The 25,651-nt window shown below is 37.4% G+C and overlaps 1 protein-coding gene across 22 annotated transcripts in view, besides 1 other annotated feature; it reads left to right on the top strand.

The window, feature by feature from the left end:
• Window positions 1-25,651, top strand: part of SLC41A2 (solute carrier family 41 member 2) — a 156,946-nt gene that overhangs the window by 51,265 nt on the left and 80,030 nt on the right. For 21 of the 22 annotated variants that reach the window (NM_001387125.1, NM_001352169.2, XM_047429648.1 and 18 more), the window contains 3 exons: window positions 12,137-12,208; window positions 18,305-18,449; window positions 21,043-21,189. In NM_001387125.1, the coding sequence (NP_001374054.1) occupies window positions 12,137-12,208; window positions 18,305-18,449; window positions 21,043-21,189 (364 nt within the window). Of the gene's footprint in view, window positions 1-2,896; window positions 3,162-12,136; window positions 12,209-18,304; window positions 18,450-21,042; window positions 21,190-25,651 lie in introns of those variants that run through there. The other variant, XM_011538813.3, reaches the window with a different exon arrangement.
• Window positions 22,702-22,871: an enhancer, noted in NCBI's record as "experimental_24038 CRE fragment used in MPRA reporter constructs". NCBI's record gives its function as "activates a minimal promoter by MPRAs in K562 erythroleukemia cells, with activity observed for both the introgressed and non-introgressed 12:105278474 variant alleles {active_cell/tissue: K562}" and the evidence as "EXISTENCE:reporter gene assay evidence [ECO:0000049][PMID:34662402]".

Raw genomic sequence — 25,651 nt, 5'->3', positions numbered from 1 at the left:
ATATAATGCTTTTCCATGTAGTTAGTTGGTAAACTATAGATGATGTTTGGGGGTATCAGTCAGCCACTTAGGTAGAGCCAAACTCATGGAGTAGAATTACTTTAGTAAATTCACTTTAGTCTATAGTATGTAGCCATTGTAATTATTGAACATTAAAAGGACTGAAAAAATAATAGGAGCTCCTTGGGCTGAAGCAGAAAAGTATACAATGAATCTCGAATATCTTGTGGTGCCAGAAAGTAAAGAAGTGCTAAAAATGAAAAAAAAAAAAAAAAGATGGGGACATGACAAAAGGATAACGAGTGACATACTGGCCAGATCTTGGAAAATTGGAGCCATACAATAGATAATGACAGTTACAGATTATATATAACCCATGGAAAAAAATAAGAATCCATTAGTCTATACATGAATAACAAGGCAGGCAAGGTCTCTGCTGTGATGGAATTTGCATAAATTTGGATATCGGTAAGGGAAGTAAAGAAAATCAAACAGGATAATGTGATGATGGATGATTCCTGAGGGCTATTTTACACAACGTGGTCAGGAAAGACTTCTCTGAGGAGGTATATGTAAGCTGGAACCTGAGTAGTAAAGGTGAGTCAGCCATATCGGAATCTGAGGAAAAATCAATCCAGGTTACTATTGTATTTAATAAATGTAACAATGTCAAATATTTATAAGCATTCTAGACAGCTGGGCTTTTAACATGCTTTTTAAGCATGTTAAATGCGTTCGTCGTTAAAAGCATTTTAAATGCTTTTTAAGCATTTAACAGCTAGGCTTGGGGTAGCAATACAAATGGAGACCTATATAACATATGTCTACATAGTTTAAAATTATACAACAAACTTACACACTTAAATATTTTCTCTTTCTGTGTACCTTGACAAATATATCCTTAGGAATACCTGGAAGTCCAAGATCAGATTTAGAATTTTTGGACTTCTTGGGTTCTGTTTTGGAACATGGTGTTGTAGAGAGAGCCACTGAGCCACCCCCTGGTCTGAGGCCTGCCCCAATTCCCTTCCCACCTTTGGTAATAGGTACTGCATTTTGAAAGACCTCACACATACACCAGGCCCCATGTCCAAGCTCCATCTACACCTCCAACAAACACCCACCCCTTGGCGTTCCTGGGGTTCATTGGCACCTAATGGTGGCATGGTCTGCCTTCAGGAACACTAACTTGAGATACCTTGGTCTCAGGTATCTGGAGCATATAGTCTAAGATTTATATTGGTTCCTGTATCCCAGTATTTCCTTATATAATGGTGACATTTGGTGTCAGCTGAATGTTGATTTCAACACTTGACCATTTGGCATACAGCTGCAATGTGTGTCAAGTATATCTCTAGCTTTTATCTTTAAGAAGAAAAAACAAAAAAACTTTTATGTAGTCTTGAGAGGTGACAGCGTGCTGGCAGTCCTCAGAGCCCTCGCTTGCTCTCGGCACCTCCCCTGCCTGGGCTCCCACTTTGGTGGCATTAGAGGAGCCCTTCAGTCCCCCCACTGCACTGTGGGAGCCCCTTTCTGGGCTGGCCAAGGCCGGAGCCCACTCCCTCAGCTTGCAGGGAGATGTGGAGGGAGAGGCACGAGCGGGAACCGGGGCTGTGTGCGGCGCTTGCGGGCCAGCTGGAGTTCCGGGTGGGCGTGGGCTTGGTGGGCCCCGCACTCGGAGCAGCCAGCCAGCCCTGCTGTCCCCGGGCAATGGGGGACTTAGCACCCGGGCCAGTGGCTGCGGAGGGTGTACTGAGTCCCCCAGCAATGCTGGCCCACCGGCGCTGCGCTCGATTTCTCGCCGGGCCTTAGCTGCCTTCCCACGGGGCAGGGCTCAGGACCTGCAGCCTGCCATGCCTGAGCCTCCCACCCACTCCATGGGCTCCTGTGCGGCCCGAGCCTCCCCGATGAGCGCCACCCCCTGCTCCACGGCGCCCAGTCCCATCGACCATCCAAGGGCTGAGGAATGCGAGCACAGGGTGCAGGACTGGCAGGCAGCTCCACCTGCAGCCCCGGTGCGGGATCCACTAGGTGAAGCCAGCTGGGCTCCTGAGTCTGGTGGGGACGTGGAGAGTCTTTATATCTAGCTCAGGGATTGTAAATACACCAATCAGCACCCTGTGTTTAGCTCAAGGTTTGGGAGTGCACCAATCGACACTCCGTATCTAGCTGCTCTGGTGAGGACGTGGAGAACCTTTATGTCTAGCTCAAGGATTGTAAATACACCAATTGGCATTCTGTATCTAGCTCAAGGTTTGTAAACACACCAATCAGCACCCTGTGTTTAGCTCAAGGTTTGTGAGTGCACCAATCGACACTCTGTATCTAGCTGCTCTGGTGGGGCCTTGGAGAACCTGTGTGTGGAAACTCTGTATCTAACTAATCTGATGGGGACGTGGAGAACCTTTGTATCTAGCTCAGGGATTGTAAACGCACCAATCAGTGCCCTGACAAAACAGGCCACTCGGCTCTACCAATCAGCAGGTTGTGGGTGGGGCCAGATAAGAGAATAAAAGCAGGCTACCCGAGCCAGCATTGGTAACCCGCTTGGGTCCCCTTCCACAGTGTGGAAGCTTTGGTCTTTTGTTCTTTGCAATAAATCTTGCTACTGCTCACTCTTTGGGTCCACGCTGCTTTTATGAGCTGTAACACTCACCGCGAAGATCTGCAGCTTCACTCCTGAGCCCAGCGAGACCACGAGCCCACCAGGAGGAACGAACAACTCCAGACGCGATGCCTTAAGAGCTGTTAACACTCATCGCGAAGGTCTGCAGCTTCACTCCTGAGCCAGCGAGACCACGAACCCACCAGAAGGAAGAAACTCCGAACACATCTGAACATCAGAAGGGACAGACTCCAGACGCGCCACTTTAAGAGCTGTAACACTCACTGCGAGGGTCCGCGGCTTCATTCTTGAAGTCAGTGAGACCAAGAACCCACCAATTCCAGACACAGTCTTACTGAGATTTTGAGAATTAGTGAAATTATATGCATGTGTTTCATCTTTTCCTACTTGTATTATGTTATAAGAACTGGTGAATTACCTAGGTAGATAGAACTCAATCCGAGAGGCTTTTTGGCGGGAGAAGAGAATGAAGAGGCCTTGAGAAACAAAAGTGGCAACATTTGAAGAAGAAAGTTATTTGAATGGGAGTTAAAAGGTGCCTTTAGTTTCATTTGTTGGAAATTGAACTTTGCTCTGATAAACATAGTTAAGCATACAAGAATTTAAGCAACTTGATAACTTTGGCAGGAAAAGTGAAGTTTTGGCTAGCTTATCTCAAAGAAAATATTTCAAAAGTATTGTTCTTGAGCATTATCCAGAATAATAATAGATTTAAAACACCAGTCTGTTTTGAAATAGGCCATGCTGTAGGGAATCTGGTTAAAAAACAAAATGCTGCAAATGATATTTGCTGTTTAATTTGATCACATACTACCGTTAAACCTGAATGAAGGTGAATTTAATCTTTTTTTAACCTTCGTTAATTTGTTGTGGTGTCTATATTTTACACTAGGTATTTTTCTCAAATGTCTGGTTATATGTATGTGTCCATATTTAAGAGAAGGAGTCTCAGGAGCTGATTACAAGCCCAGCACAGGGGAGAAGCTTGCCATCTGTGGTCTCTACTCTGCTGCAGGGTGATCTAACTTAGTATTTCTTTAGAGAGGTAGGGGTAGAGCTGCCAGCTTCCATTGGTTGAGAGCTGTGCTACTGATAAGAAGATAGTTCAGTCAAGGAAATAAGAAAACATTATAAGGAAATAAGAAAACGTAAATAAGAAGTGTTGAGGCCATTTGTGATAGGAATGCCCTAGGCAATGCAAAGGGCCAGAGGCAGGACTGTTGTTGGTATGTTAGATCAGTAGTTCTCAAAGTGTGCTCTTCTGATCAGCAGCATCAGCAACTTGTTAGAAATACAAATTCTCAGCCCCACTCCAAAACTACTAAATTAGAAACTCCAGTGGTGTGGCTCAGCAATCTAAATTTTAACACACTCTCCAGATGATTCTGATACACATTGAAGTTTGAAAACCACTGTGTTAGATAAAGAGCATGGAGGCCAATAGGGCTGGGACCGAGTGAGTGAGGGGGGACAATTTTAGGGGATGAGCCAGAGGCCAGATTATGTACGGATTTGCCTAGTTTGTGAGATAAGAAACCAATGGAAGGTTTTAAACAGAGGAGTTAATGTGATCTGATAGATATTTTTTAACAGATTATTTTGACTACTGCATTGAGATATGGGTATAGGGGGCTAAGGATTGAAGCAGGGAGTCTGTTGCAATAATAGCTTAGAGATAATATTCAAGATGGTAACAGGGAATGCAGTGAGAGGTGGTTGGAGTCCAGAATTAATTTTCAGAGAGAATCAACAGAATTGATTGATGGATTAACTGAAATTAAACACTAGGAGCCATCACTAAAAATTCTTTCTGGATCTGAGAGGAGTAAAAGCAAGCAAATTAGTAGATGGGAAAGTAGCAACTTGTAGTGCCAAGTTATGATAACATGGTATATTCTTCTAGTTTACGGCATTTTTATTGCTTAGAGAACTAGATCTCAAGTTTGCTGGGTAGAAAACTATAGTTCTTACAGAATGCTAGAGAAGTTTTGGGTTTATTTCAGTTCTGATACTCTACGGGCTGTTAAGAAACTCTAAGTTAATGACTTCTTGATGGCAAAATCTGAAAGCCTCATCTTCTCTGGACTCTTCACTGATTATTTTCTAGTTGAAAACTTTATAGCCCTTGGCTTTGAGACCCCACTGTCTTCTCATTCTCCCACGTCTTTCACCGCTGCTTGTTAGTCTATGTCTTTTGTTTTTCTTTGCTCATCCTCTAAATTTGAGGTTTTCTTGAAATTTTAGTACCTTGTTCAACATGTTCTTCCTCAGTAATTTCGTGTAGTCCAGCACTGCTTGCACATTGCTGTTCTCAGATCTGTACCTCCAGACTCTTTCCTGACTTTGAGAGCTGAATTTTCAGTTGCCTTTTGGATACCACTCAATACATTCTAAACTAAACTCATTAGTTTCTCTTATTTCCAGCTATACTCTTTTTTCTGTATTTCCTATCAGTTTATTAACATTACCAATCACCTTGTCCCTCTTCACTCTCTATCCAGTTACTGTCCAGTCTATCAGTTCTGCCTATGAAATTCCTCTTTCTTTTTCCTTATGCCCCACCTGTCACCACCTTGATTTATTTGCCTGTTGTTTGTAATTGGGACTACTGAAGCAGATTTCTAACTGTACTCAATGGTTCCAGGGAGAAGGGTGAATTAGTATGGTCTCTTTTTAACTTAAAGCAGTCACTATTTGAAAGCTGTTTTTTTTTCATTTATGTGCAAAAACAATAATGCTTTTAAACATTTTACATTTTTTATGTAGTATTTGTTTTCACTTGTAAAATTAGGAGAAAAATAATTATAGCTATAGAAGGCCAATCAATGGTTACTTTAATCTTTTTGCTCCACTCAAGGGTCCTTTCTCATTTTTATGATTATCTGAGGGAGAATCAGGATAAATGAGCGTATAAGATTATAAGGAAGACCTTTGATAAGTATAAAGATAAAGAACTTAAAACATAAGATATCATAAGATACAGTCTACTCATTCAATCTGTGGAAGGTCATTTGTTTTTAAAGCTTGTTATTCTATAAACCTAAAGACCAAACGTTCACAGATAAAAAGATATTTCAATAAAATAGGTTTCCAGACTGGGGAATGTGGTGAAATCTCATCCCTACAAAAAATAAAAAAATTAGCTGGGCTTGGTGGCACATACCTGCGGTCTTAGCTACTTGGGAGGCTGAGGCAGGAGGATTGCTTGAGCCTGGGAGGAGGTGGTTGCAGTGAACTGAGATGGGGCCACTGCACTCCAGCCTGGGCAACAGAGTGAGACTGACCCTGTCTTTAAATAAATAAATAAATAAATAAAAATAGGTTTCCTATTTTTACAAGGGAATTAAAAAATGATGTATCCAAATCAACTTTATCTTGCCATCTTACTTGAGTCAAAACTTGTTTCTAAAGTTATGATGATTAACTTGAATAATTTTTTTCCTGGATTTTAATCTTTTCAATAGTATATATGAAATTATAGTAGATATTATAGGTATGTAATAGTAGTGTATAATTGGAAAATGAATCAAGTACAGTGATTCTATAAATTGTTGAGTTTTTCTATTGTTTGAGGTCTAAAATTTTCTGCTTTTTAATGTTAGGTATAAAGGAGTCAAAAATTATGTTCACTGCCCTAAAAACAGTATTTGAAAAAAAAAAAGTTTGTAAAACTATTTCCCAGGAGCAAATCACCTAGCATGATTTGATTAGTCCTTTTCTACTGTAGGCAAAACTGATTTCTATTGCCTCAAACCTCTTCTCAGAGAACACTTAATTGACTATCTGAATTATTTAGCAACACTCTACCTTTCTCATTCATTAATTGCAAAAATATTTTTGAGCCCTTACTCTATGCCAAGCACTGCTGTGTGTGCCAGGAGATCAGTAACGAACAAAACAGAAAATGTTTCTGCCTTTGCTGAGCTTACATTTCAGTGGAGGGATATGAAGAAGTTGGCAAAATGTCTTTCCCTAGTAACTTTAAGTTAGATTTCCAATTCAGATTCTAAAAGTTCTAAAATAAAGTCAAATTAAAACCTAGATAATTATATTAATAACTATGGCACAATTTAGATATAATTACAATCTCAGTATTATTTCCTAAATTTGGCATAATTCTCCATGTTCTTGTTATACACCTGATTGCTAGATACAAATGGAACTGCATATTCCTGTTAGTTCCTCACTTTAAAGTGTCTTTCTTAAGTTATAAACATCAGTCCCTAGCCATAGCTTTGTGGAGTAGAACTACTTATGTATAATCGAAAACTGTTATAGTCAACTAGGTTTTTAATCAATTAGGTTTTCCTCCCCATTTCTGCAGCTTTACTGACATACGATAAACTGCAACTTCAAAGTCTACAATTTGCTGAGTTTAGATATATAATATATACCTGTAAAAACTACCATCATAATCAAGAAAACAAACATATATATCATCTCTGTACATTCAGACAGCTATTTGTGTGTGTGTTTTGTGTACAATGTTTTGTTATAAAATATTTCAAGCACATGAAAATATGTAACAGTGTTTCTAATTCTAATTAATGGCAGAATGAAATGGTTGGATGAAGCCTCCAGAGATTAACAATTATAAAATCTGGAAAACTATTTGAAGGCAATGAAAAGTGATCAGAAGCAGGTAGAAAGTAGGGTTTACCTTTAAAAGACCATACTACAATGAGTAAGAATTGCAAAGTTTGTGATGTTTTCGCCTGAGGGAATTCCCCTATCCCTGGATCTCATATGGCAGAAAACTGATAGTCTTATTAGCTCAAAGCAGAGTTCAGAGCTGGCAGAGTGGCTGAGAATTAAGGGAGGAGATTCTAGAAGTACAGAAAAGGGGAGATCCAAAATCTAAGTATAAGATCTGGTGAAATCTGTGACCAAGTACTAAAGTGCATTTACATAGGAATAACCTAAATGAGTCTGGTAACAACAACAACAGCCACAACAACAACAACAAAAACAACAAAAAAGTAGGCAGAAATGTGAGAGGGGCCTACACTTGAAAAGCAAATACACTGGTTAAGATTTCTGTGTTTGTTGACTGAGTGTCTTCTGTGACCTATGCATAGCTATAGTGGCAGAAAGTTGAAGTTTTAGTGGCTTGGATTATCAGATGACAGAGTTGGGAGCTGATAGAGCATATGGAAACTTATAAAGAAATCTCATACGCAAGAGAATTGCACAGAGAGTGAGCCCTGAAATCTGAGCATAAATTGTGCTCAAATCTTTGGTTGTGTAGTTTGTTTAAACTGCACAGGTACAGAAGAGACCTTCAAAGGGCTATACTAAAAGGCATTTGTTGGTAGCTGCAAGAACCAAGCAGAGAGATGAGGTGCTTCACTCTATGGGAGAGACAAAAGCCTAGTTTGAGTCTAGTCAAGTTAACTGCCTATTAGAATGAAAGCTCAGTTATCATCACAAGAGCATAACAGTATCCAGAGTCACTACAACATGTTATCTACACTGTCTGGTTTTTAACCCAAAATCACTAGATGTGGAAAGAAACTGAAAAGTGTGATTGATATTCAAGAAATGTATGATTAATATTCAGTTAATAAAAAATGATTCTAATTGGGCCCAGATATTAGATTGAATAAAGTCTTTAAAGCCACTAGTATGAATATGTTCAAAGAACTAAAGGAAAACATGTTCAAATAAAGACAAATATGTTTTAATGAGTGATCAGATAGGGAGCCTTAAAAGAGAACTAGTAACTATAAAAAAAAAGAATTAAATGGAAGTTCTCGAGTGAAGAGTACCATTTTGCATTCCCACCATCAGGTCAACTAATCTAGTAACAGTAGGCCTAGCAAAGGCCTTTACACCAGCAATGAATGAGAGTTCCTGTTGCTCTACATTGTTACCAGCATTTGGTATTGTCAGTGTTCTGGCTTTTGGCTATTTTAATAGGTGTGTAGTGCTATCTTGTCTTAATTTGCATTTCTCTGATATATGATGTGGAGCATCTTTTCAAATGCTTATTTGCCATTTGTATGTCTTCTTTGGTGAGGTGTCTGTTAACGTCTTTGACCCACTTTTTAAGTTGGATTGTTTGTTATTGTTGAGTTTTAAGAGTTCTTTGAGTATTTTGGATAGCAGCCCTTTATTAGATATTTCTTTTGCAAATATCTGTTTTTAGATAAAATGATTATACTGGCACTACATGTTCAGTGGTAAAAATTTGAAAAAATCACTAAAGGACAAAGTAAAAATTAAAAATTATCCATACACCTAACACTTGGAAGTAACAATGGTAACTTTCTGGTTTTTAAAAAAATGTACATATAGTTTTTTTTTTTTTTGCACATATAGTTAATACATGTTTTTTAAAATAATGCATGAATGGAGACTTTCAGTACCTTTGTTTCAAGTATTTATTCATTAAACATATTTTTTTCTAGTATTAATTGTAGTGGCTATATTTATAAATCTATAATTTCAAGGTCATCCAAGACCACTTTTATATTTAGCTCCAATAAATCCTAAGTCTTGCTTATAACTAATATGTCTCAGTGTCAGATAAGTAACGTCTGTTTATGCAGAAGAAGGCTTTTGGGATTATAAAAACTAGAGATGGCAGATTCCACCTAAAGGCATTCAGATTCAAAAATTTTAAAACCACTGTGTTGGCCAAACATAACACATCTTCAGGCTCTGGCCACCTCAGCTCTACTCTTTCCTAAAAAATTAGTTGATGTCTCTGCAAAAATAATGGCCTATTTTTCTAATACTTTAAGATATACATAATTTAAATAAAACTGGGTTACACAGAAGTCTTTACTAGATCATGCCCTATTATATTTTATCACCTTCTAAGCTCTTGGTTTGTCTAGCTGGGCACCATCAGGTCAGCTAATCTAATAAAAGTAGGTCTAGCAAAGGCCTTTACACAGAACACTCATACTTCTCCCTCTCCACTTTAGAAAAAACTTAGATGGCTCATATTAACCCTAAACCACTGGACAGTAGGATGGGTCAGCACAACTGTTGATGTAGTTTTTACAAGATGGAGGCAACAAAATCAATTTTCTGTGTCCTGCCATACCTCTATCCACATGCCAATGCAAGCCTATACTATACATATTTTCCCTAACAAGGTAAATTTGGGGCAACATTTCTCTTTACTTTTTAAAAAAATTCTTACTCCTGAAAATCTTTGCTTTATAAAAAAAGTTATTGTTTATAAATATAGTCTACATTTTATTTTTTATTTTATGTCATACATTGTTTTAATTTGTTATTTATTGTTTTATCTTAGACTAAGAAGAGTAAAGATTCAGAGACTTCTAGATTAGAAAGGGTCTCAGAGAAAGTGATCTTCATCATTTATAAAACAAATTAATTGATTAGTACCACCCTAGAGATCATGAAAAAAAAAAGAAACTGATTAATTGAAAAGTGACACTGGGTGTGGTGGCTCACTCCTATAATCCCAGCACTTTGGGAGGCCAAGACAGGCAAATCACTTGGGGCCAGGAGTTCAAGACCAGCCTGGCCAACATGGGGAAACCCTGTTTCTACTAAAATACACAGATTAGCTGGGCATGGTGGTGGGCACCTGTAATCACAGCTACTTGGGAGGCTGAGGCAGGAGAATTGCTTGAACCTGGGAGGTGGAGGTTGCAGTGAGCCAAGATCATGCCACTGTACTCCAGCCTGGGTGACGGAGTAAGACTCTGTCTCAAAAAAAAAAAAAAAAAAAGAAAAAAGAAAAGTGTCACTCTGGGTTTGGTCAGGAAAACAGAGCCATGGTATGTATTGAATCAATAGGGAATTTAATAGAGAAGTTTGGGGTTACATGACTGTAGGAGAAGTTGGAGAAATGACGATCTGTGGTAGGAAACTCAGTGAAGCCACCTGAAGCCCTGGAGCAGGAAAGAAAGCCATGCATGCATTACAGCGAGGAAGTCTGGACACCTGCGTGTCTGATCACCTTCCAAAAATAATAGTCTTTGCTTCACTGGTGACTTCCAAATCTTATGCAAGTTCTTCTCACTGGTAGACTGTCACCTGAAGCTATAGGGGAGGGGATTTTGGGGAATGTAGCTCCAAGCCTTAGAAGGGACTGGTGGTGATAGTGCCAAATTAACGTGGCACAGTTGCAAATCCAATTCATAGCACTCACTCATTCTTTAACTCCTACCTTTCTTGATCTTTTCCTAGACCCGAATGTATGTATGTTTCCATTTGTTATTAAGCAACCCTGGAGTCTTGATGTCTTATACTTTTTCATTGAATCATTTTAGATTGCTTCCTACAGATATAGACATCTTTCTAAGAGTTATTAAAAAATAACACTAATTTCACTCATTCCTATTTCTTGAACTCTAAACCTGAGGTAGGTTCACTCTGTAAACATTGCTTGTACCTTATTACTCACTTGAGCAAAGCCCCAGGTTGTTAGAACTACAAACATGAATTTCACCAATGATTTAGATTCCCAGGCTTAGTAAAGAAATATGTAAATAAAGACTGCATTAATAATTATTCTGAAATACTGAGAAATCTCAATATTTGCATTTGCTGGATGCTTTGAGACTAAAGTCCACAGTGAGATTACAGAATAGAATCTGTTTTCCAGATTGATAGAGGAAATGTTTATATAGCACTTAACCTGCTTGTCTAAAGCCAGTGACCTAAATTCTAGACTGTACCTGGTTAAAACTACCCATGAATAACAACCCTTACTTACCTTCCTCTTTATCAACTTATCTATAGATCATTTGAAAGAAAGTCTTTCATAGCAAAGCAGATGATGAGTAATTGAAATGCAACTCAGTATTTTTACTAAATGATTGTTCGTTGCTTTCCAAACAACTACTTTAGAAAAACTTGGCAGATTTGGAAATACACTTTTTGAATTCTAAGTGGTTGAGAAATATGAATTAGCTCACAGAACAATTGAGTATGTGGGTGATAATATTATTTTGGAGAGTGTTCTTCCATTTAGCAGAAAGATGTGTAAAATTTAATAGTTGCGGTACATGATCAAAATTAATTTGTAAACAATGAATTTTATTGCTAACAGTTTTAGTCGTGACTCAAATATAAATTGTATACATGTGAATGATTATATCTTGTTTTTGGGTCAATAATTCTTTAAGTTACATTAGTTTTATAATGTGGAATTAACTGCTAGTGGATCAAAGTTATGTAATTATTTACCTTGGACCTCAATACACAAAATTTGGCATGCTAAGATAATATCTGATGATGCTAGTTGTAAGATAACATCAGTGAGTAAGTGGGTAATACTAATGGGTCCACTAGTTCTTGTAAGACAGGTAAGTAAAAAAAATTTTTTTTCTCTAAACATGTTAGTCAAGCCTAGCGTTAGCTGAAAGACTGGTAGTGAATTCAGAATTATTTTCAAAGTACAATGTGAGCTCATTGGATTTACTGAAGAATTATTTTGGGCTTTAAGATTTCATGTGCTGTTTGAACACAGCAGAGAACATGTAGATTTTCTTCAGTGATACATGAAAATATCCACTTTAACAGGTAAATATTGGGAAGATGGATTCACCCATTGAAAAGTGGAACCTAATAATTGGCAACTTGGCTTTAAAGCAGGTAAGTGGTACACATATTTGTTTACAGATCTTGGGTGTACAAATTTTGACTGTAATCTATAAGATTGGTGTAAATTTTAGTACTATGAGTCTACCCTTTAATTGTTTTCAGAAACACCAAAACAATAATTTAGTACCTTGAAAAAGTGATGGAATAAATGGATACCTATGAGCTCTGAAACTATTCGTTGTTTAGAAACTAGTTTTTACAAATATGAAAAATATATACAAAATGTGGAAAAATATACAAAATATTTTCTATCATAAGTGTGTGATAGAGCCAGAATTTGCATTAATATATCTGTTTAGTAAATATTTAGCACTTCATTAAGTGCTATTTTTTACTTTGATATTTAAAGATAAACTGAGCTCTTTTCTATATATTATGATCAGATATTTGTTTGTTTTCCTTAATTTGTTAGTTACTAGTATTAATATAAACAATACAGTAGTTTACCAATTACACGTACACTGAATTGTGAACTGTAGATCGTGTATAATCTACAGCTTTTTCTAATCTTAGATGAGTTTCTCTTTTTCTTCTGCCTTCACCCTCTCCTACCCCTAAGACTGAAGACTGCGACTACCCCTAGTAATTCTCTAGCTAGTGTGAGCTTAGGGAATGCACACTAATTTTGGTATTAGTTCACCTAGGACATAATGTTGAGAACCTGGTTGCAGGAACAGAATTTCATGTAATGTAATTCAAGGACAAAGAAATAAAGCACATTTTTTGAATACGTGTACAAGTGCTTGTAAGATCACAGATGTAGAAATGAGAAAATCTGAGATCTGACCTCAGCTGTAACATTAAACAGTTTATAACCTTTGTTAATCTATTTAACTTTTCTGGGCTTCACTTTTCTCTTTTATTTATTTTTTTCTTTGAAATACATTTTTCCTTTATTTATTTTTTTTTTTTGAGGCAGGGTCTTGCTCTGTTGCCCAGGGTGGAGTGCAGTAGTGCAGTCATGGCTCACTGCAGCCTTGACCTCCTGGGCTCAAGTGATTCTCCCACCTGAGTGCCCGAGTAGCTGGGACTACAGGTACGCGCCACCACGCCTGGTTAATTTTTGTACTTTTTGTAGAGACGGGGTTTCGCCATGTAGTCCAGGCTGGTCTTTTCTTTCAATTTTTAATTTTTGTGGATACGTAGTAGGTGTATATATTCATGAGATGTTTTGATACAGGCTGCAGTGCATAACAATCACATCATCTAAAATGGTATATCCATCCCCCCAGCATTTATCCTCTGTGTTACAACAATCCAATTATACTCTTGTAGTTATTTTTTAATGTACAATTACATTATTGACTGAAGTCACCCTGTTATGCTATCAAATACTAGGTCTCATTCATTCTATTTTTTTGTACTCATTAACCATCCCTACCTCCCCCATACCCTCCTACTACCCTTCCCAGCCTCTAGCAACCATCCTTCTACTTTCTGTCTCCATGAGTTCAATTGTTTTGATTTTTACATCCCATAAATAAGTGAGAACATCCAATGTTTGTTTTTCTGCTCAGCTTATTTCAGTTAGCATAATGACCTCCAGTTCCATCTATGTTGTTACAAATGACAGATATCATTCTTTTTTATGGCTGAATAGTGCTCCATTTTGTATAAGTACCACATTTTCTTTATCCATTCATCTGTTGATGGTCACTTAGTTTGCTTCCAAATCTTGGCCATTGTGAATAGTGCTGCAACAAACATAGAAGTGCAGATATCTCTTCAACATACTGATTTCCTTTATTTGGGATTATATACTCAGCAGTAGGATTTTTGGATCATATGGTAGCTGTATTTTTAGTTTTTTGAGGAACTTCCGAACTGTTCCCCATAGTGCTTGTACTAATTTACATTCCCACCAACAGTGTACGAGGGTTCCCTTTTCTCCACATCCTCACCAGCATTTGTTATTGCCTGTCCTTTGGATAAAAGCCATTTTAACTGGGGTGAGATGATATCTCATTGTAGTTTTGATTTGCATTTCTCTGATGATCAGTGATGTTGAGCACCTTTTCATATGACTGACTACCATTTGTATGTCTTCTTTTGAGAAATGCCTATTCAGATCTTTTGCCTGTTTTAAAATCAGATTATTGGATTTTTTTTCCTATAGATTTGTTTAAGCTCCTTATATATTCTGGTTATGAATCCTTTGCCAGATGGGTAGTTTGCAAATATTTTCTCCCATTCTGTGGGTTGTCTCTTTACTTTGTTGATTGTTTCCTTTGCTGTGCAGAAAGTTTTAAACTTGATATTATCCCATTTGTTCATTTTTGTTTTGGTTGCCTGTGCTTGTGGGATATTACTCAATAAATTTTTGCCCATACCAATGTCCTGGAGAGTGCCCCTAATGTTTTTGTGTAGTAGTTTTATAGTTTGAGGTCTTAGATTCAAGTCTTTAATCCATTTTGATTTGATTTTTGTAGATGGTGAGAGATAGGGGTCTCATTTCTTCTGCATGTAGATGTCCAATTTTCTTAGCACCACTTGTTAAAAAGACTGTCTTTTCCTCAGTGTATATTCTTGGCACTTTTGGCAAAAATGAGTTCACTGTAGATATATGGATTTGTTTCTGGTTTCTCTATTCTCTTCCATTGGTTTGTGTCTGTTTTTATGCCAGTACTGTCTTTTGGTTACTATAGCTCTGTAGCATAATTTGAAGTCAGGTAATGTGATTCCTCCAGTTTTGTTCTTTTTGCTTAGGATAGTTTTGACTATTCTGAGTCTTTTTGTGATCCCACATAAATGTTAAGATTTTTTTTTTCTATTTCTGTGAAGAATGTCATTGGCATTTTGATAGGGATTACATTGAATCTGTAGATTGCTTTGGGTTATATGGACATTTTAACAATATTGATTATTCTAATCCATGAACATAGAATATCTTTACACTTTTTGGTGTCCTCTTCAATTTCTTGCATCAATATTTTATTTTATTTTATTTTATTTTATTTTATTTTTTTTTTGAGATGAGGTCTTGTTCTGTTGCCCAGGCTACCAGGCTAGAGTGCAATGGCGTGATCTCGGCTCACTACAGCCTCCGCCTCCTGAGTTCAAGCAATTCTCCCACCTCAGCTGGGATTACTGGGGTGTGCCACCATGCCCAGCTAATTTTTGCATTTTTAGTAGAGATGGGGTTTCACCATGTTAGCCAGGCTGGTCTCAAGCTCCTGACCTCAGGTGATCCACCTGCCTCAGCCTCCCGAAGTACTGGGATTACAGGTGTGAGCCACTGCTCCCGGCCTGTTTTATAGTTTTTATTATAGAGATCTTTCATGTCTTTGGTTATTTCTAGGTCTATCTTATTTTACTTGTAGCTATTGTAAATGGGATTACTTTCTTGATTTCTTTTTCAGATTATTCACTGTTGGCATATAGAAATGCTACTGCTTCTTGTGTGTTGATTTTGTATCCTACAATTTTACTGAATTTATCAGTTCTGATAGTTTTTTGGTGGAGTCTTTAGGTTTTTCCAAATATAAGATTATGTCATCTGCAAATAAGGATAATTTGACTTCTTTCTTTCCAATTTAGATGCCCTTCATTTCTTTCTCTTATCTGATTGCTTTAGCTAGGACTTCTAGTAGTATGTTAAAAAAACAGTGGTGAAAGTCTCTTTCCTCTTTTAAATATCATTATTGTATTAGAGATGTCTAAGATCTTTTTCAGCTTGAAATTGTAGAAATCTATGCAGGGGTAATAATCAAAACATTTAACAACCAGTAGAGTTGTTAAATATATATATAAATAATATATAAAAATAATATAAATAATATATAAAATTTGAAAATATATTCCATTTATTTTTAAATACCCTGAACTCTTACAAAGTAATATGAGTTGTAGTATAAATTATTTGTCAAATTATCCTAATAATTTCCATCTCAGCTTTTCATTTTTCCTCCCATTCTTTGTCTTCACTTTTCCTTTATCATCCTCTCTCCCTGCAACTGTCAGTCAAGATAGGAGTCAGACATGGCTAGGGATTCACTGATTCTAGTTGCCATAGCCCAAAGCCTGTGTCTTTATGTGCCTTACTCCACCAAGAAAGTGTGAAGAACAGGGAACCCCAACCAGGCCCCTCAGGACACACCTGGTACCAGCCAGTGAGGCAGCAATTGGTTGAAGCCCAGTCACAAGTAGACAAAAGTGAGAAGAAAAGAAGATGGAGCGGTGGGGGTAATGGTTGGGGGAGAGGGTTTTTTCTTCCTGAGGCTTCTTCTGCTAACACTTGTGAAAGAGTAGATGATGAGTGTGGGAGGGGAGTAGGATGGGCTGGCACAAGCCTCCTCTGCCTGGAGACTGGCCATGGAGGGTAGAAAGAGAGAAGGGTAGAAAGCACAGACGAGGCCCACACTCCCACTTGCTCAGGGTTGTGCTCTTCTCACTGTTAAATGGAGCCCCAGGCAGATCGCCTGTCACAGATTTCTTCACGATTGTACAGAATGGTCTTCTGGACCAAATACATACATAAGTAGTCAGATAAAGCAAAGTCTCCAGTCCCACATGAGGAACTGTTGCCTCACCAGGAGGGACGTGTCCTGTACCAAACATCTCTTCAGGCCTATGGCCCCTGTTAACCTTCACATCTACTACTTAAACCCAGACTTTGCTTTCTCTTGGGTACAATTAGTCATTTTTCAGTTAGTCATTATTTTGCATATTTCCAGAATAGGACTTCCTCATCTCAGCTGTGTGCTTTTATTTTCTCAGAAATTGACAGATTTATATATACATATATACACACCATGATGTCTGCAGTAGGTTCTCTAGCTCTGTGTTCCAATGTCAAGCCAGACAGGACTTGGAATCATAGTGCTAGAATTTATATTATAAATTAATTTTACTGCTTTAAAGTGTAATTACATCATTTACTAACCAGAATGAAAATCCTGAAATATTTTAACTGCTACACTCATCATGGTGCTTATTGGTTTGAATCTCAGCTCTGTATCTGTGGATGACATCCACAGAAGCTGTAATATTAATACAAGATCATGGGGCTGGAGTCCAGGATATATGGTCTCTTTAGTCCTGGCTCTTCTGTTGATTTACTATATGACTACTTCAGGAATTTTTTACTTGGAGCCCTCGATTCCAGCACGTGGATTGGCTTCAGAGAGTCCATGAACATCAAGAAATTCTACTCAAAATATTGAGTGCCTCTGTGTTTGCCTAGAGAAAGAGAACTCTATTCTATAGAGTTTTTACCAGATTGTCAAAGGAGTCCATGACACAAACTCAGCTAAGAGTGAGTGCAATAGATGATTCTTGTAGGGTTTCTTTTAGTTCTGACATCCTATTAATCTGAGGCTGAGTTAGCGGTGAGTGTTATTTCTTAGTGGCAGGTTTTTTTTATTCTTGCTTTGTGTCAGCACTGTGGAAAGCAGTTTATATATTTATATAATTAATTTAAATCACAAAGTTTGAGGTTATTGTGGTCTTACTGATTAGGAACTGAAATTTTCATAGCACTAATCACAATTGTGCTTATTTGTGAGGTTATTTTCAAATGTTTGTCTCTCCCACTGACCAAGAGCTCTGTGAGGGCAGGGAATAATCTACGTTGACCACTGCTGTAGCCCAACACAAAACATAGCACATTATACATAGTAGAATCTAAATAAATACTCCTTGAATGAATGAGTTTAAATAATTTGCTACAAGATTAAGTGCTAGAACCAGGAGTCAAACTCCTATCTTTCTATTATAAAATCCAATCTCTTGCCAGCACTACCTCTAGAGTCAGACTTCAGATGTGTGGATTGGGTACTTCTCAGTCTGAAGGTGGCATTTTCTTAGGTGATCTATTAGTTATACCATCAGCATCACTTGGGGTGCTTGTTAAAAACAGATTCCTGGACTCCGTTCCATACTTGTCACCAGATCATCAGAGCAGTTTGAGAACCCACCATCTTAGGGAATATTAAAACCAAAATATAGTAACTACTCTAAAAGGTAATGTAGCTCAATTATTACATGCAATACTTTTTTTGACTTTTTGTAGTAATATTTACATAATCAAAATGTTTAAATGTGTTTTTAAAGTGAATAATTCAGTTGGATTTATGAAAAAAATTTTAGGTTCAGGCAACAGTAGTGGGTTTTCTAGCAGCTGTGGCAGCAATTATATTGGGCTGGATTCCAGAAGGAAAATATTACCTTGATCATTCCATACTTCTGTGCTCTAGCAGTGTGGCAACTGCCTTCATTGCATCTCTTCTGCAGGGTAAGTGAATTTATAAATGTCTACTCTATAGCCTTTTACATTTAAATGGTTTATTTCTTAAGATGACTATTTTTATTTAAATGATACCTGTTATGAAAACAACAGAAAAAACATATCTACAAACTTAAAAAATGCCTTAGTTATTCCAGATATATTTACATTTCATTATTTATAAAACTTAGTGTAGAACAGGCTTTTCTGAGGTTGTCTCCTGGCCTTGGATACTCCGTTATAGTTCCTCAAAAAGATCAGGAAAATCGCCTAGACATTCATTTGTTTCTGTAAGTTAAATAAATTGGGAAACTCCTTTCTGGACATCATGCAGGGGATTTACTAGCTTGTCACTTGAGTAACAAGTGTTCCAGGAATTCTGGGTTTCAAAAGTCATCCTCTGTTGAAATTTTTTTGTTTCAGATTTCAAGAAAAATTTCTTCCCTGTTTCTGTGGCAATACAAATATAACCTTATACTTAAGATAGCATATTGTTGGCTATAGAATTTAAAGAGCCAGAAGGTTTTAAAAATTAACTACTTTAGAACTTTTATTTGGGTTATTTTTCTTTATATTTATTCGTATGAACTTTACACTAGAGAATTAGCTTATTGTGGAATCACAATCATAAAGACTTTGTTCTTTTTATTTTATAATTGCCATTTTCTTGCCCTTATATCACCAGCAAAGTTTAAAGTGGATTATTGTCATGTTAGGTGATCATACAATGCAGCTAACTTTTTTGGCTAGGTTCTGGGAATTTAGGGAATCTTATTAAAATTATAACTCGATTTCCAAAATATTTTCAAGCATTTTGTTTTAGTAGTTTAATTGTATCGGGGTAGTTTCTTGTCTTCATAAAGAATTACTATAGTTGAATGGAGTTAACATTGACCAAAGCAGAGTGAAGTTAAGCTATTGGAAAATTAAATTGTTGGTACAAAAATAATTATGCCATCAGCATGCTATTTTTTTAGGCTCATTTGCTTCTTTTTTCTTTCTGATTTTATTTCATTTAGAAAGTGTCATTTAAAATTTTTCAGTCTAACAAGTATTTGAAAGCTTTTCAAAACTATCCAAAATTCAGAATTTTAAAAAGTATTTGTTTAAAGCTTCTGACTTTGAATAATGTGTGTTCTAATTTTATGATAACTTGACCTTTATAAGCACTTTAGTATATGTAAAGTAGAAACTCTTAGCCATATTTGTAGGTGAGAAAACTTAGGTAAGGTGACTTGTCCAATCTCATCAACTTGTTACCAGCTGAATCAGAACTAAAACACGTTTCCTAACTCTTAGCTCTTTCCACTGGACTATGATACATACAAAATATTTGTTTTCAGTTGAAAAGATATAGATGGTACTATGTGTAGGAGAACTTCCCATATACATCTTCAAATGTGCTGATTTTGGAAAAAGATTCTAAGCGATTACATCTTGCCTGATTATTGCATAATGTATTTTTTTTAAAAAGTTTTCTGCTATAGCTTTTTTTCTTTTTCAATGATATTATGGGAAAGGTAAGTCTAGTAATTTAAAAAGCCTCCAGAATACTAAAATATAAGGCACTGTTTGATGCAAGACAAAAATTCTGCTTATTAAAATTTTGGCTTTAATAGGTAGAGTAAAAAACACTGGGCTAGAGTCACAAGCTATGTGACTTTAGGCAAGAATTTAAGCCCTACTCTACAGGACCTCAGTTTTATTATCTATAAAGTGAGTATGCTGGAACAAAAACATTTAGAGTCATTTTAACTCTAAAAGTGCTGTGAGATTCTGTTACTGTTTTTCTCCATAGCCATATTTAGGCTTTCATATTGATTTGTGGTTAGCACATTTAAAGTTTTCTCTTTACTACATCCTCTTAATGAGTATCTTGGTGTGACAAAATCTACACAATTTAGAGTGGATATAAATGTTAATAGTTTTATCCCATTTGTATAATTTAAGAAAATTAGGATGTAAAAGTACAAGTACACAGTTAAATTTTCATCTTCTATTCTCTCGTAGGTTTATAGACAGAAACTTCAGGTTTAAAGAATATCTTTTACAAAGACTGTTTCTTGTATTCTGGCCTTCAGTGTTTTAAAATTTAATTATGTCCTGCTGCTTAATACTTCAACGTCTTTAAGTAATAAAATGAAATAAGCATTTCTAGCTGCCATATGTAAACAAATCTGGTTTTGTTGGCCTTCTTCCCAGTTGTTGTACATATACATATGACTCACCTTTTTTTTTGATGTTTTCATACTTTATTTGAGGGTTAAAATTAAAACCTTTGGATTCAATACACACAAATACATTATATCTAAGATATACATGTCACTAAATCTGAAATTTTAGCTTTACCATAATTTTAGTAGCTTTCAGGCCTCTAAATACAATGCTGAACTTCTTAAATTTTCTATGATCCCCACTTGGAGTTTGTTGAAAGGCATTTTGCCAAAGCGTTAGAGTAAATGTTTTGTTTGCTTTAGTCAGCTTATCTAAGCAGTCTAACTGGAATTGATATGCTGTTTTTCTATCCTACACATTTTGGTATTTGGGGGATTGATTTTCTTTAAATCATAGCCTAAAAAGTAATGAACATTCTTTCTTCTAGGAATAATAATGGTTGGGGTTATCGTTGGTTCAAAGAAGACTGGTATAAATCCTGATAATGTTGCTACACCCATTGCTGCTAGTTTTGGCGACCTTATAACTCTTGCCATATTGGCTTGGATAAGTCAGGGCTTATACTCCTGTCTTGGTAAGTTGATTTAAAACTAAATATTGTGTGTTGTCTCAAGTCTCTTTAAATAAATATTGTTGCAGCAATGCCATGAATCCATGGTAGCCTTCATTTGCATTAGAACTGCTGTTGAGACTGATTAGGATAACTATCATTTGTTTTATACCTACTATGTGTTATGATTCCCACTTTCTTTTTTCTCGTAGAGTTTAAAACTCTGTAAAATAAGGATTATCATCTCTAATTTTAGATGAGAAAAGCAAGGATCATAGAAGTTATGTATGTTACCCAAGTTTATATAACTACTAGTAAAAAAGTTGAACACAGGCTTATCATATTTTGTGATTTCTGTCCTTTCCTGTAAGTGTACAGCAGCTAGGAGTCAACCTGCAGTGTTCTCTGTATAGAACCATCTCAGAATATAAGCTTATAAGTGGTACTTAAAATTTACCAATGGAATGTTTTTCCCCATCAGAAACCCACACCAATAAGTAGCTTCATGGCAGTTAACAAAAGGGAAAAAAAAATCACCACAAAAATTAGACTGAATGCTGTATAAAGTTGGAGCCATATATGTAATTCCTGATAAATAGTGATAGAGTATTTATGGAATCTAATGAGTTGTTTTAATGCAAATTTGTGTTCTGGAAATGGTAAATACATATGATTTGTGAGTGTTGATGACATGCTAAAAGTTCATTGTGGTTTTATTATTTTTAGATGCCAAATTAAGGAAAACAGAAACTTACAGTAATACAAGAAAAAAACATGAGTATATAAGCCAAGCCAGAGGCAAACATTTATTCACAAATCCTCACATATGTTCATGGATTCTATACAGATTTATGGTGTACTTTAAAATAAATCTAAAGCATGTTTCGTTTTAAGAAGTAAGGGTCTCAGATATATGTTCTTGAAATAAAGAAAGGGCTTTAACCAACCAAAGGCAATAATTTTCTGTGACTTTTGGAGACATCAAGGAAGCTTCACTTAGCATATAAAATTGCCTTAAGTTATTTAGTGAGTGGCATAAAAACAATATTTAATAAGACTTGGTGTGTATGTTCAAGGAATATTTCTCTCATTTAGAAGATAAGGTTGCATCCACTTTAAGTGAGGTATAAGACAAGAAATGATCAATGGCCTAAATGTAAGCTCTTGTTCCCAAAGGTCTTGGCTTTTTTATGTTGTTGTGCAATTTGCAAAGAATGATACATGTTTAAGTATATTAAGGACAACACTTAATTCCCTTCCCTCCCACTCAAAAAAAAAAGCACAGGAAGTGGGTTATGTTATTAAAGGGATAATCTTAAATTTGCTCTAATTTGTATTGTTTGGATGATAAATTGATAATACTTTAATTTAGAAATAGATGCTGAAGTCAGGGATTAAAATATTAGCTTATGGCTAGCATTAGAAAATGTGGCTTAATATTCTTGTCCTACTCTATTAAACTCACCCACACACTCTCAGCCAGACAGTTGGATAACTTGTAGTCCTGACCCCATAGAATAAGCTGTTAACTGTATTGGTGAAGAGAGACTGTCACTAATAGGCTGTATCTCAAAAGAGAAAGCCAGTAACGGCATGAGTTAGGCATGAGTTAGTGCCCCTTTCCCTAGTATTACTAATTAGATAAGTCTCTCCCAATTGGAGGAGGAGGAAAGAGAGAAGAAAAGAGGGGTAGAAGAGGATAAAGGGTTATGTCTCAATATCATTAAAAGGACAGAAATTCTATGGGTTTGCCCAGGAACATAGAGGGTGGGGGTAGGGATGGAGGGCTGGTAGTGGTTCTGGGACAGGTTACCCTATATACATAAAAAATACAGGTATACAGTTCCAAGATGGCCAAATATGAATAGCTCCAGTCTACAGCTCTCAGTGAGCGACGCAGAAGATGGGTGATTTCTGCATTTCCAACTGAGGTACTGGGTTCGTCTCATTGGGACTAGTTGGACTGTGGGTGCAGCCCACAGTGTGTGAGCCGAAGCAGGGTGGGGCACTGCCTCACCAGGGAAGCGCAAGGGGTCAGGGAATTACCTTTCCTAGCCAAGGGAAGCTGTGACAGATGGTACCTGGAAAATTGGGACACTCCTGCCCTAATACTGCACTTTTCCAAGAGTCTTAGCAAACAGCACACCAGGAGATTATATCCCACACTTGGCTTGGTGGGTCCCACACCCATGGAGCCTTGCTCACTGCTAGCACAGCAGTCTGAGATGGAACTGCGAGGTGGCAGCGAGGCTGGGGGAGGGGCGTCCGCCATTGCTGAGGCTTGACTAGGTAAACAAAGCGGCTGGGAAGCTCAAACTGGGTGGAGCCCACCACAGCTCAATGAGGCCTGCCTGCCTCTGTAGACTCCACCTCTGGAAGCAGGACATAGCTGAATAAAAGGCAGCAGAAACTTCTGCGGACTTAAACGTCCCTGTCTGACAGCTTTGAAGAGAGTAGTGGTTCTCCCAGCACGGAGTTTGAGATCTGAGAACGGACAGACTGCCTCCTCAAGTGGGTCCCTGACCCCCAAGTAGCCTAACTGGGAGACATCTCCCAGTAGGGGCCAACTGACACCTCATACAGCCGGGTGTCCCTCTGAGATGAAACTTCCAGAGGAAGGATCAGGCAGCAACATTTGCTGTTGTGCAATATTTGCTGCTCTGCAGCCTCCGCTGGTGATACCCAGGAAAACAGGGTCTGGAGTGGACCTCCAGCAAACTCCAACAGACCTGCAGCTGAGGGTCCTGACTGTTAGAAGGAAAACTAACAAACAGAAATGAATAGCATCAACAGCAACAAAAAGGACATCCACATCAAAACCCCATCTGTAGGTCACCATCATCAAAGACCAAAGGTAGATAAAACCACAAAGATGGGGAGAAACCAGAGCAGAAAAGCTGAAAATTCTAAAAACCGAACGCCTCTTCTCCTCCAAAGATTCACAGCTCCTCAGCAATGGAACAAAACTGGATGGAGAATGACTTTGACGAGTTGACTAAAGTAGGCTTCAGAAGATTGGTAATAACAGACTTCTCCAAAGTACAGGAGGATGTTCAAACCCATTGCAAGGAAGCTAAAAACCTTGAAAAAAGACTAGATGAATGGCTAACTAGAATAAACAGTGTAGAGAAGACCTTAAATGACCCAATGGAGCCGAAAACCATGGCATGAGAACTACATGATGCATGCACAAGCTTCAGTAGCCGATTTGATCAAGTGGAAGAAAGGGTATCAGTGATTGAAGATCAAATGAATGAAATGAAGCAAGAAGAGAAGTTTAGAGAAAAAAGAGTAAAAAGAAATGAACAAAGCCTCCAAGAAATATGGGACTATGTGAAAAGACCAAATCTACATTTGATTGGTATACCTGAAAGTGATGAGGAGAATGGAACCAAGTTGGAAAACACTCTTCAGGATATTATCCAGGAGAACTTCCCCAACCTAGCAAGACAGGCCAACATTCAAATTCAGGAAATACAGAGAACGTCACAAAGATACTCCTTGAGAAGAGCAACCCCAAGACACATAATTGTCAGATTCACCAAGGTTGAAATGAAGGAAAAAATGTTAAAGGCAGCCAGAGAGAAAGGTTGGGTTACCCACAAAGGGAAGCCCATCAGACTAACAGTGGATCTCTCAGCAGAAACTCTACAAGCCAGAAGAGAGTGGGGGCCAATATTCAACATTCTTAAAGAAAAGAATTTTCAACCCAGAATTTCATATCCAGCCAAACTAAGCTTCATAAGTGAAGGAGAAATAAAATACTTTACAGACAAGCAAATGCTGAGAGATTTTGTCACCACCAGGCCTGCCCTAAAAGAGCTCCTGAAGGAAGCACTAAACATGGAAAGGAAAAACCAGTACCAGCCACTGCAAAAACATGCCAAATTGTAAATACCATCGATGCTATGAAGAAACTGCATCAATTAATGGGCAAAAAAAACCAGCGAACATCATGATGACAGGATCAAATTCACACATAACAATATTAATGTTAAATGTAAATGGACTAAATGCCCCAATTAAAAGACACAGACTGGCAAATTGGATAAAGAGTCAAGACCCATCAGTGTGCTGTATTCAGGAGACCCATCTTATGTGCAGAGACATGCATAGGCTCAAAATAAAGGGATGGAGGAAGATCTATCAAGCAAATGGAAAACAAAAAAAAAAGCAGGGGTTGCAATCCTAGTCTCTGATAAAACAGACTTTAAACCAACAAAAATCAAAAGAGACAAAGAAAGCCATTACATAATGGTAAAGGGATCAATTCAACAAGAAGAGCTTACAGTCCTAAATATATATGCACCCAATACAGGAGCACCCAGATTCATAAAGCAAGTCCTGAGAGACCTACAAAGAGACTTAGACTCCCACACAATAATAGTGGGAGATTTTAACACCCCACTGTCAACATTAGACAGATCAACGAGACAGAAAGTTAACAAGGATATCCAGGACTTGAACTCAGCTCTGCACCAAGTGG

The sequence above is a fragment of the Homo sapiens genome, chromosome 12 (genome assembly GCF_000001405.40).
Source record: "Homo sapiens chromosome 12, GRCh38.p14 Primary Assembly".
NCBI classification, from domain to species: domain Eukaryota; kingdom Metazoa; phylum Chordata; class Mammalia; order Primates; family Hominidae; genus Homo; species Homo sapiens.
This window is presented reverse-complemented; position numbering and strand designations above follow the sequence as displayed.